General features: G+C 43.6%; 6 annotated features.

The window, feature by feature from the left end:
* Positions 46 to 95: an enhancer, noted in NCBI's record as "active region_4870". NCBI's record gives its function as "activates an Ori minimal core promoter by ATAC-STARR-seq in GM12878 lymphoblastoid cells {active_cell/tissue: GM12878}" and the evidence as "EXISTENCE:reporter gene assay evidence [ECO:0000049][PMID:35858748]".
* Positions 1,753 to 1,842: an enhancer, noted in NCBI's record as "active region_4869". NCBI's record gives its function as "activates an Ori minimal core promoter by ATAC-STARR-seq in GM12878 lymphoblastoid cells {active_cell/tissue: GM12878}" and the evidence as "EXISTENCE:reporter gene assay evidence [ECO:0000049][PMID:35858748]".
* Positions 4,230 to 4,889: an enhancer, noted in NCBI's record as "OCT4-NANOG-H3K27ac hESC enhancer chr11:63299385-63300044 (GRCh37/hg19 assembly coordinates)". NCBI's record gives its function as "activates a minimal SCP1, AML or CMV promoter by ChIP-STARR-seq in primed H9 embryonic stem cells {active_cell/tissue: H9 hESC(primed)}" and the evidence as "EXISTENCE:reporter gene assay evidence [ECO:0000049][PMID:30033119]".
* Positions 5,031 to 5,325: an enhancer, noted in NCBI's record as "tiled region #8142; K562 Activating DNase unmatched - State 5:Enh". NCBI's record gives its function as "activates a minimal TATA promoter and a strong SV40 promoter by Sharpr-MPRA in K562 cells {active_cell/tissue: K562}" and the evidence as "EXISTENCE:reporter gene assay evidence [ECO:0000049][PMID:27701403]".
* Positions 6,876 to 7,535: an enhancer, noted in NCBI's record as "OCT4-NANOG-H3K27ac hESC enhancer chr11:63296739-63297398 (GRCh37/hg19 assembly coordinates)". NCBI's record gives its function as "activates a minimal SCP1, AML or CMV promoter by ChIP-STARR-seq in naive H9 embryonic stem cells {active_cell/tissue: H9 hESC(naive)}" and the evidence as "EXISTENCE:reporter gene assay evidence [ECO:0000049][PMID:30033119]".
* Positions 8,198 to 8,859: an enhancer, noted in NCBI's record as "OCT4-NANOG-H3K27ac hESC enhancer chr11:63295415-63296076 (GRCh37/hg19 assembly coordinates)". NCBI's record gives its function as "activates a minimal SCP1, AML or CMV promoter by ChIP-STARR-seq in naive and primed H9 embryonic stem cells {active_cell/tissue: H9 hESC(naive and primed)}" and the evidence as "EXISTENCE:reporter gene assay evidence [ECO:0000049][PMID:30033119]".

Below are 12,323 nucleotides of genomic sequence, written 5' to 3'. Positions count from 1 at the left end.
TTTCACTTTCACTTTCCTTTTGACACTGTTTCAACCTCACTTAAATACTAAACACTGTTTAAAAGAGACAACTGTTTAAAAAGGAGCTATTTCTCTAGATGGAAGGACTAATCATTTCTTACACAAGCCATGGACTCATTGGTGCTTTAAAGCCACCTTGGGAGCAGCCAGAGTCGAAGGGGAGCCCTGAATTTCTGCCCTTGCTTGAGAAATAAAGGTCTTTTCTTTTTTTTTCTTTTTTGTTTGTTTGTTTGTTTGTTTGTTTGTTTTTTTGAGACAGAGTTTCGCTCTTGTCACCCAGACTGGAGTGCAATGGTGCGATCTCGGCTCATTGCAACCTCTGCCTCCCGGGTTCAAGTGATTCTCCTGCCTCAGCCTCCCAGGTAGCTGGGATTACAGGCACCTGCTGCCATGCCTGGCTCATTTTTCCATATTTAGTAGAGACGGGGTTTCACCATGTTGGCCAGGATGGTCTCGATCTCTTGACCTTGTGATCTGCCTCCCCGTCGGTCTCCCAAAATGCTGGGATTACAGGTGTGAGCCACCGCACCTGGCCAAAATAAAGGTCTCTTCTAAAAAGAACCCTGGGCAGCTCTTCCTACTCCAGGAAGGGGAGGCATTCGGAGGCAGGGAGATGTCAATCCCCAGTGCACCCCATAGGACATTGTCTTGTAAAGACACCCAGAAAATATTGGGCCAGAAGTCTTGGGAGAAGGCCAGAGGGGGTGTTTCATTCCATGGGGATGCCCTGGAGGTGAGGGGTACCTTAGACCATGTGGAGCCTGGGAGCTCATGGCCCCATTAAAATGCATTTGGGTGCAAGAAGCAGAACTAAACTCAAAAGGGCTTCAACAGCCTGGACACCCATTGTCTCGGTAACAGAAAGGCAGGAAGAGGGTGACTCAGGTTGGGTTTAGTGGCTCACCAAGGTCACCAAGGACTCAGCAGGCTGTCTCCATTGCACTGGTCCTGGGTCTGCACTGTTGCCCTGCAGGGACTCCCATGGCTGTAGCAGCCTTGAGTGGCCCATTTTTACCTGGCTATGCCCAAAAGATGGAGGGAAAGATAATTCTCATTTGTCTTTTTTTCAGGGAGTTAAGTCTTTCCCACAGTTCCCCAGATGACCTGTTCCCTTCTCCATTGGCCAGAACTGGGCCATATTTTCACACCCAACCAGAGGCCTAGACAGGTGGATCACTTGAGCCCACGAGTTCAAGACCAGCCTGGCCAACATGGCGAGACCCCGTCTCTGCTAAAAATACAGAAAAAAAAATTAGCCGGGCATGGTGGCATGTGCCTGTACTCTCAGCTACTTGGGAGGCGGAGATGGGAGGATCGCCTGAACCCAGAAGTCAGGCTGCAGTCAGCTGAGATTGCTCCACTGCAGTCTAGCCTGGGCAACTGGAGTGAAACCATGTCTCAAAGCAAAACAAAACAAAAAACCCCCATTTCTGTTGTTTAGGTTAGCATGCCTCTGGGTTTCACTCAAAACACTGTTGAACGATGTTGCTGTGTTTGGGCAGAGCTTCCAGGGACCGCTGTGGATATCATGAGGAAGCCTCAGAGCTTTCTCGGGCAGAGCTTCTACAGGTGTCTTGCCGTGGTCAGTTTCTTTGCTGTTTTTATGGCCCTCTGCAGGAGTGTCCATGGTCATTATCTCAGCCACCTTTTGGTTTCAGTTTCTCATCAGGTCTTGGGGGTGTCTGGCCACAGCAGATGTTATCTTATTACCTCAGTCCTTTATACCTATGTTTATCATTTTGAGGGTTCAGCAGTTTCACTGTGGGCTGAGTCACTTGTCGTAAGTGACTCCATTTTGAAATATTTAGGATCACAAAACTCTTTAAGGGGGCCCCCACAAGAGTCTGCATTCAACAATCCCAGAGTCTGGGTTTTTGCCTTGTGGCATAATAAAAATTTTTATTTTTAAATAAATTTATGCCTTGTAGCATAATAAAAGTTTATTTATGCCTTATGTGGCATGATAAAAAAATATATTTTTGGTCTTTGACCCCAGTTCCAGACACAGAGGTCCTAAGACCCTTGGAATTTCCTGAGTGATAGGATGTCATGTTATTCAGAAGGAGTCTCTGTCAAACAAATCTGAGTTTATGCTAATGAGGTGGCTCTTGGTTGAGGAGGGAGAGCTGGATAACTTCAGGTTGGGGACTGATCACCATTATTTAATCAGTAATGTCTACATTATGCAGCCTCCGTAGAAACCCCTACATGACGGGGTTGGGAGAGCTTTGGGGCAGGTGAACACAGATGTGGTGGGAGACTGGCCTGGCTGGAGAGGGCATGGTGGCAAAGATTCTCTGTGTGACCACATTTTAGTCAGGTTCCCAAACCTCTTCCTAGGCACATCTGTACTTCCTTGTAAAATCTAATTTTAGCAAAGGACCCTGCCAAGTCAGTTTAGCAGGAACTTCCCACCCTCAATATCTGACCGGGTTCATCCTTCTCACTGTCCTCCAGGTGATGTCTGATCACCCCGGCCTGTCTTCAGCAAGAATCCTGTTAGTGTGGTTTAACCAGAATCTCTCTTGCCCCTGAGGTTTCCTCTTTGTAATTTTGCATCCACTGACCTGTATGCTTCTCCTTGCCTATGAATTCCCACTTGCCCGTGCTGTGTTCAAGTTTGAGCCCCATCTCTCTCTCTTGCTGCAAAATCCCAGTGCAGTGGATATCAAGCTTGTATCATTAGATAATTTTTTCTTTAACAATGGAAGCTGTGCACAATCACTGCCCCCCATATTAGTTTCTTCTTAGTTTCTTCCATGTAGCTGTTGCTGAGTTGTATCCTTTATAATAAACTGACAATCATAAGTAAAGCAGTTTTCTAAATTTTGGAAGTTGTTCTAGGGAATTATCAAATTTAAAGGGGATTTAGGGGGTCTCCACCATTTGTAGTCAGCCAGGTAGAAATGTGAGTAGCCAGGGAACTCCATTTGTTGCTGAGCCTGGAGACTTTACCTGTGGAGGCTGAGCCTAACTCTGGATAGTTAGCGTCGGAATTGAGTCGGATTGTTGAACATGCGGTCAGTGTTGGAGAATTGCAGGACTGATTGATGTGGACAAATGACATGTATTTGGTTGCTATCAGAAGAAACCATACATGCCCACTTCTGTTACTCGAAAAAAAACGGGGATCATTCGTTTAGTAACAAACAACTTTTCATGAGAACACAGGTGTGGATCAATAGCAGTTTTATTACTTGGCACAAGTAAGGAGGACACTGTGAGGATTCTCCAAAGCAGTCTTCCCTACGAAAAGTGACAGGAGGGTTTTATGGGTGATGGAGAGGGGAGAGGGTGCATCGGCACATGCAGAGGAGGGGTCCCAGTTGCACAGATGCAGTGAGTCATCGTGCCAACACATAGGTTGCATGCTATGGTAATGAAGCTGTAGCTCCTCCGGGGTGGAGACTTTAGCATGGTAATGAGGAAAGTTCACTCAGATTCATCTGTAGGTTGCTGGGATCTGTTAGGAGCTGGTTTTAACCAACCACATGACTGCATTCTATGCAAGGTTTAGGAAGAAACAGGCTACAGGATGGTAGGCTGTAAAAGGCTGATTGCTGAGTTGATTAAATTCCTATAATCCCTGGAAACCCTTGCTGTCTGCTTACACTTCCAGTTCATTGCAGCTTGTGCTGAGGTTGAAACAGCTTGTGGTAGATAGTGTCAGGTTTTAGCTTAGAGTCAGTTCCAGGCAGCTGGGGTCTGTGAATGCAGGACTCCAAAACAGCCAGTGGCCTTTCTTCAGCAGCACCAAAGCTTAGATGCTGCAGGAGTGACGGCTGTATTCCAAGTGACAAACAAGGCTTTCTGAAGCCTGTTCTGCTTTGTCAGACTTGGAGTCCAAACTGACCCACATCAGGATGGATGGTCTGCTCCAAAGGATCAGACATCTAATCCCACAAGAGCACATTAGCAACGGAGACTGCCTCTCTTTCTCTATTGCCTCTTTTTTTCCTAGAGGCTCCAATAGGTAACAATAATAGCAGAAATAATCAGTTATGAAGACTGATTTGTTTTTAATACTCAAAGAGTTTAAATTCCAACCAGCCCACTGACAGCAAAAATCTAGGAAGTTGTGCTTTACCACCAACACTTTCTTCTTGCAGCTTTCCCTGATTGGGATGATATCTCTAGCATGTATGAAATTACAAGCATATGATATTTTACATTAATTTATATTGTATATCTAGATGCAATAGCTGCTGTAACCCAAAAAATATTTGAGACAGCTTTCAGTCAAAAATTTAGAGATTTATTTAGCTAAGGTTTAGGACACATCCAGGAAAAAAGGAACAGAAAACCATAGGAAACATCTGTGATTCGTGCTTTTTCCAAAGTGCGTCTGGGGACATCATTATTTAAAGGGAAAAGTGTGGGCATTAGGGGAAAGAGAAAAGGGAAAAAAAGGGAGGGTAGATAAAAGAGGCAAGTGGTTGCATTCCTTTGAGTCTTTGATCAGCATTCACTGAATCTGCATTTTACATGTGAAAGGAGGGGGTAGAGGAATAGTTAATTATGCATTCATTTCATGCTTAGTGAATCTGGATTTTTATATAAGCAGTCAAATATGCATTTGTCTCAGGTGAATGGAGGGATGACTTATAGTTCTGTCCTTTCTCCCATACCTGTGATGATAAGCTGTCAATTTACATCATCAGGGTGTCATTCAGCAGAACTGTTTTAGGGTGAAGATCTTGGGGCTCACAAAGAATTCCCTTGTGAGCAAATTGTTAGGGAGTTATATAGCTTTTTATTTTTGTAGCTATCTATTTAGGAACAAAATGGGAGGCAGGTTTGGGTGACCCAATTCCTAGCTTGAATTTTCCCTTTGGCTTAGTGAGTTTGGGTCCCGAGATTTTGTTTTCCTTTCCTGCAGCAAAATAGAAAGCCATTTAAAAATATGTTTTTTCATTGCAAATTTATTTGAAGCCATGGCAGCATTCAGTATTTAGATGTTGAGAAAGACTCTGGCTGGAATTTGGGACAAGGAAATGTTCCCCCTCCACTAACCTACTATAGTAGCGAGGTAGGAGGCTGGCAGGACTTGCTTTCTCGTTGCAGCCCTGTTGATCATGTTGATTGGAGCAGGATGTGGTCAGAACAGTATGCAGTGAAGAAGCCAGCCAAAACTAGCAGAGGGTGATGGAAGTGACCTCTATTTGCCCTCACTGCTCATTAGCATAAGACACTCCCACCAGTGCCATGACAGTTTACAAATACCATTGCAATAGGCCATGGTAATGGCCTGGAAGTTACCTTAGATGGTTCTGGAAACTCTCCACCCTTTTCCAGAAAGTTCTGAATAACCCGTCTCTTAATTAGCATATAATTAAAAGTGGGTATAAGTACAGCTGCCAACAGCCCATATGTTGCCAACTCAGCCCGCTGCCTATGGGTTAGTCCTGCTCTGCAAGGAGCAGTACTGGTTCAAAAAAGTTGCCTTCTCTCACCATAGGCTCATCCTTGAATTCTTTCATGGGCTAAGCTCCAATGTGGTGTGGGGAAAAGCAAGAGAGATCAGATTGTTACTGTGTCTGTGTAGGAAGAAGTAGACATAGGAGACTCCATTTTGTTATGTACTAAGAAAAATTCTTCTGCCTTGAGATTCTGTTAATCTATAACCTTACCCCCAACCCCGTGCTCTCTGAAACATGTGCTGTGTCAACTCAGAGTTGAATGGATTAAGGGCGGTGCAAGATGTGCTTTGTTAAACAGATGCTTGAAGGCAGCACGCTCCTTAAGAGTCATCACCACTCCCTAATCTCAAGTACCCAGGGACACAAAAACTGCGGAAGGCCGCAGGGACTTCTGCCTAGGAAAGCCAGGTATTGTCCAAGGTTTCTCCCCATGTGATAGTCTGAAATATGGCCTCGTGGGAAGGGAAAGACCTGACCGTCCCCCAGCCCGACACCTGTAAAGGGTCTGTGCTGAGGAGGATTAGTAAAAGAGGAAGGAATGCCTCTTGCAGTTGAGACAAGAGGAAGGCATCTGTCTCCTGCCCGTCCCTGGGCAATGGAATGTCTCGGTATAAAACCCGATTGTATGCTCCATCTACTGAGATAGGGAAAAACCGCCTTAGGGCTGGAGGTGGGACCTGCGGGCAGCAATACTGCTTTGTAAAGCATTGAGATGTTTATGTGTATGCATATCTAAAAGCACAGCACTTAATCCTTTACATTGTCTATGATGCAAAGACCTTTGTTCACGTGTTTGTCTGCTGACCCTCTCCCCACAATTGTCTTGTGACCCTGACACATCCCCCTCTTTGAGAAACACCCACAGATGATGAATAAATACTAAGGGAACTCAGAGGCTGGGGGGATCCTCCATATGCTAAACGCTGGTTCCCCGGGCCCCCTTATTTCTTTCTCTATACTTTGTCTCTGTGTCTTTTTCTTTTCCAAATCTCTCGTCCCACCTTATGAGAAACACCCACAGGTGTGTAGGGGCAACCCACCCCTACAATGTGGGGCCCAAACATGGGACACAGATTTGGCATGGGACACAGATCCAAACCAGTCCAAACTGGGCCCACTGCCTGTCTTACAAGACCCATGAATACAGCTATTCTCATTTATTTTTGTATTGTCTATGGCTGCTTTTGTGCTACAGTGGCAGATTGTGTGGCCTCCTGGCATGCGAGGCCTAACATATTTATTACTTGGGTCTCTGCTGACCCCCTGGGCTAGAGGTTTATCAATTTTATTGATCTTCTCAAAGAACCAGCTTTAGACTGATTGATTTTTTTCTTTTTCTACTTTATTTATTACTTCTTCTATCTTTATTACATTTTCTTTCTTTGCTTGTTTTGGTTTTCATATGCTTCCTCCCCCTTCTTTTTTTTTCTTTTCTGGCCAATTGCTGAAAACCTGGCTCCCCTACTTCCTTGAGGTAAAAGCTTAGATCATTGATTTGAGACATATCTTCTTTTCTAATATAAGCTAATACTATAAACTTCTCTGTAAACACATTTTTAGCTATATTCCTCTGAGACTGTAGGAATAAAAAATGTCAGGCCTCTGAGCCCAAGCCAAGGCATTGCATCCCCTCTGACTTGCACGTATATGCCCAGATGGCCTGAAGTAACTGAAGAATCACAAAAGAAGTGAATATGCCCTGCCCCACCTTAACTGATGACATTCCACCACAAAAGAAGTGAAAATGGCCGGTCCTTACCTTAAGTGATGACATTACCTTGTGAAAGTCGTTTTCCTGGCCTCATCCTGGCTCAAAAACCTCCCCAACTGAGCACCTTGCAACCCCCACTCCTGCCTGCCAGAGAACAAACTCCCTTTGACTGTAATTTTCCTTTACCTACCCAAATCTTATAAAACGGCCCCACCCCTATCTCCCTTTGCTGACTCTCTTTTCGGACTCAGCTCGCCTGCACCCAGGTGATTAAAAGCTTTATTGCTCACACAAAACCTGTTTGGTGGTCTCTTCACACGGACGCGCATGAAAAAAAACAACGTGCTTTTTCTATTCTCTCATTCAACAATAATCAACAAAACGTCTTCTGTGACCTCTGCTCACCAAGAAATGTGTGATTTGTCCCCACCAACTACTCATTCATCAATTCTGCAGCAGACATCAGCTGTGTGTCCTCTCATTCTGTTCAATTTTGACACTAATTGGAGATAATGTCAGATCCCACAGGTTGAGGGCTCAGTTGCACAAGATTCTCCCCAACTTCTGATGTGAATTGCCAGCTTCAGGTTGTTTTACTTGTGTTTCTGATTAGCTGTGTATAAACTGGGGTTCCCAGGACCTCCTCATTGGGTTTGGTTAATTTGCTAGGGCAGCTCACAGAACTCAGGCAAACACTTACTTACACTTACCTGTGGGGAAAAGCAAGAGAGATCAGATTGTTACTGTGTCTGTGTAGAAAGAAGTAGACATAGGAGACTCCATTTTGTTCTGTACTAAGAAAAATTCTTCTGCCTTGAGATTCTGTTAATCTATAACCTTACCCCCAACCCCGTGCTCTCTGAAACATGTGCTGTGTCAACTCAGAGTTGAATGGATTAAGGGCGGTGCAAGATGTGCTTTGTTAAACAGATGCTTGAAGGCAGCACGCTCCTTAAGAGTCATCACCACTCCCTAATCTCAAGTACCCAGGGACACAAAAACTGCGGAAGGCCGCAGGGACCTCTGCCTAGGAAAGCCAGGTATTGTCCAAGGTTTCTCCCCATGTGATAGTCTGAAATATGGCCTCGTGGGAAGGGAAAGACCTGACCGTCCCCCAGCCCGACACCCGTAAAGGGTCTGTGCTGAGGAGGATTAGTATAAGAGGAAGGCATGCCTCTTGCAGTTGAGACAAGAGGAAGGCATCTGTTTCCTGCCCGTCCCTGGGCAATGGAATGTCTCGGTATAAAACCTGATTGTACGTTCTATCTACTGAGATAGGGAAAAACCGCCTTAGGGCTGGAGGTGGGACATGCGGGCAGCAGTACTGCTTTGTAAAGCATTGAGATGTTTATGTGTATGCATATCTAAAAGCACAGCACTTAATCCTTTACCTTGTCTATGATGCAAAGACGTTTGTTCACGTGTTTGTCTGCTGACCCTCTCCCCACAATTGTCTTGTGACCCTGACACATCCCCCTCTCGGAGAAACACCCAGGAATGATCAATAAATACTAAGGGAACTCAGAGGCTGGCGGGATCCTCCATATGCTGAACGCTGGTTCCCCGGGCCCCCTTATTTCTTTCTCTATACTTTGTCTCTGTTTCTTTTTCTTTCCTAAGTCTCTCATTCCACCTTACGAGAAACACCCACAGGTGTGGAGGGGCAACCCACCCCTTCACTTACCAGTTTATTACAAAGGCTATTTTAAAGGATACAAACAAAGAGATGCATGGGGTAAGACATGCAGGAAGGGGTGCAGAGGTTCCATGGCCTCTCTGGGTGCTCCATCCTGTGTATCCAGATTACAGGCATGAGCCACTGCACCTGGCCTGGGATTACAGGCATGAGCCACTGCACCTGGCCTGCGTATTATTTTATACATTTATAGGTCATTTGGGTTTTTCCTTCTGTTTATTATTGACTCATGACTGTAAACCAAAAAGTATCTGAGACAGGTCTCACTCAATTTAAAAGTTTATTTTTGCCAAAGTTAAGGACATGGACAGAGAAAAGGATCATAAAATCCACAGGAACAATCTGTGGTCCATACTGTTTTCCAAAGGTGATTTTGAGAGCTCCTAAATTTAAAGAGGGTAAGTGGGTTGGAGGGGAAAGAGGGAGGGTATGATCACATTACTGGATGCACATTTTTTTTTCTGTTTTTGAGACAGTCTCACTCTGTCCCATCAATGGTGTGATCTCGGCTCACTGCAACCTCTGTCTCCTGGGTTCAAGCCATTCTCCTGCCTCAGCCTCCTGAGTAGCTAGGATTACAGGCGTGTGCCACAATGCTTGGCTAATTTTTTTTTCTTTTTATTTTATTATTATTATACTTTAAGTTTTAGGGTACATGTGCACAAAGTGCAGGTTTGTTACATATGTATACATGTGCCATGTTGGTGTGCTGCACCCATTAACTCATCACTTAGCATTAGGTATATCTCCTAATGCTATCCCTCCCCCCTTCTCCCCACCCCACAGCAGTCCCCAGAGTGTGATGTTCCCCTTCCTGTGTCCATGTGTTCTCATTGTTCAATTCCCACCTATGAGTGAGAACATGCGGTGTTTGGTTTTTTGTCCTTGCAATAGTTTGCTGAGAATGATGGTTTCCGGTTTCATCCATGTCCCTACAAAGGACATGAACTCTTCATTTTTTATGGCTGCATAGTATTCCATGGTGTATATGTGCCACATTTTCTTAATCCAGTCTATCATTGTTGGACATTTGGGTTGGTTCCAAGTCTTTGCTATTGTGAATAGTGCCGCAATAAACATACATGTGCATGTGTCTTTATAGCAGCATGATTTATAATCCTTTGGGTATATACCCAGTAATGGGATGGCTGGGTCAAATGGTATTTCTAGTTCTACATCCCTGAGGAATCGCCACACTGACTTCCACAATGGTTGAACTAGTTTGCAGTCTCACCAACAGTGTAAAAGTGTTCCTATTTCTCCACATCCTCTCCAGCACCTGTTGTTTTAATGATTAGTCAGTCCAGCACCTGACTTTTTAATGATCGCCATTCTAACTGGTGTGAGATGGTATCTCATTGTGGTTTTGATTTGCATTTCTGTGATGGCCAGTGATGATGAGCATTTTTTCATGTGTTTTTTGGCTGCATACATGTCTTCTTTTGAGAAGTGTCTGTTCATATCCTTTGCCCACTTTTTGATGGGATTGTTTGTTTTTTTCTTGTAAATTTGTTTGAGTTCATTGTAGATTCTGGATATTAGCCCTTTGTCAGATGAGTAGGTTGTGAAAATTTTCTCCCATTTTGTAGGTTGCCTGTTCACTCTGATGGTAGTTTCTTTTTCTGTGCAGAAGCTCTTTAGTTTAATTAGATCCCATTTGTCAATTTTGGCTTTTGTTGCCATTGCTTTTGGTGTTTTAGACATGAAGTCCTTGCCCATGCCTATGTCCTGAATGGTATTGCCTAGGTTTTCTTCTAGGGTTTTTATGGTTTTAGGTCTAACATGTAAGTCTTTACTCTATCTTGAATTAATTTTTGTATAAGGTGTAAGGAAGGGATCCAGTTTCAGCTTTCTACATATGGCTAGCCAGTTTTCCCAGCACCATTTATTAAATAGGGAATCCTTTCCCCATTGCTTGTTTTTGTCAGGTTTGTCAAAGATCAGATAGTTGTAGATACGTGGCATTATTTCTGAGGGCTCTGTTCTGTTCCATTGATCTATATCTCTGTTTTGGTACCAGTACCATGCTGTTTTGGTTACTGTAGTCTTGTAGTATAGTTTGAAGTCAGGTAGCATGATGCCTCCGGCTTTGTTCTTTTGGCTTAGGATTGACTTGGCGATGTGGGCTCCTTTTTGGTTCCGTATGAACTTTAAAGTAGTTTTTTCCAATTCTGTGAAGAAAGTCATTGGTAGCATGATGGGGATGGCATTGAATCTATAAATTACCTTGGGCCGTATGGCCATTTTCACGATATTGATTCTTCCTACCCATGAGCATGGAATGTTCTTCCATTTGTTTGTATCCTCTTTTATTTCATTGAGCAGTGGTTTGTAGTTCTCCTTGAAGAGGTCCTTCACATCCCTTGTAAGTTGGATTCCTAGGTATTTTATTCACTTTGAAGCAATTGTGAATGGGAGTTCACTCATGATTTGGCTCTCTGTGTGTCTGTTATTGGTGTATAAGAATGCTTGTGATTTTTGTACATTGATTTTGTATCCTGAGACTTTGCTGAAGTTGCTTATCAGCTTAAGGAGATTTTGGGCTGAGACGATGGGGTTTTCTAGATATACAATCATGTCATCTGCAAACATGGACAATTTGACTTCCTCTTTTCCTAATTGAATGCACTTTATTTCCTTCTCCTGCCTAATTGCCCTGGCCAGAACTTCCAACGCTATGTTGAATAGGAGTGGTGAGAGAGGGCATCCCTGTCTTGTGCCAGTTTTCAAAGGGAATGCTTCCAGTTTTTGCCCATTCAGGATGATATTGGCCATGCGTTTGTCATAGATAGCTCTTATTATTTTGAGATACGTCCCATCAATACCTAATTTATTGAGAATTTTTAGCATGAAGGTTGTTGAATTTTGTCAAAGGCCTCTTCTGCATCTATTGAGATAATCATGTGGTTTTTGTCTTTGGTTCTGTTTATATGCTGGATTACATTTATTGATTTGCATATGTTGAACCAGCCTTGCATCCCAGGGATGAAGCCCACTTGATCATGGTGGATAAGCTTTTTGATGTGTTGCTGGATTTGGTTTGCCAGTATTTTATTGAGGATTTTTGCATCGATGTCCATCAGGGATATTGGTCTAAAATTTTCTTTTTGTTGTTTCTTGGCCAGGCTTTGGTATCAGGATGATGCTGGCCTCATAAAATGAATTAGGGAGGATTTCCTCTTTTTCTATTGATTGGAATAGTTTCAGAAGGAATGGTACCAGCTCCTCCTTGTACCCATGTAGTACACATGGCCCTTGTGGCTCATGTGGCTTCTCCAGGTAAGAACACATCTTTTTGTTTCAATATCAGCCTTGACCTTAGAAGTATGAACCTTTGCTAAACCAGTACCAATAGTATGTTCTGATGAGCTGGTTATCTTTTCTTTGTGAAAATTAAAAACTATAGACCTATATTCTGTATGGGATGGAATTTGTTCTACATCAATTAAGTTTGATTTTTTTTGTAAGCCCTCTT

Source organism: Homo sapiens, chromosome 11 (genome assembly GCF_000001405.40).
Source record: "Homo sapiens chromosome 11, GRCh38.p14 Primary Assembly".
Taxonomy (NCBI): domain Eukaryota; kingdom Metazoa; phylum Chordata; class Mammalia; order Primates; family Hominidae; genus Homo; species Homo sapiens.
The sequence above is the reverse complement of the archived record's forward strand: the minus strand, read 5'-3'. Positions and strand labels throughout refer to the sequence as shown.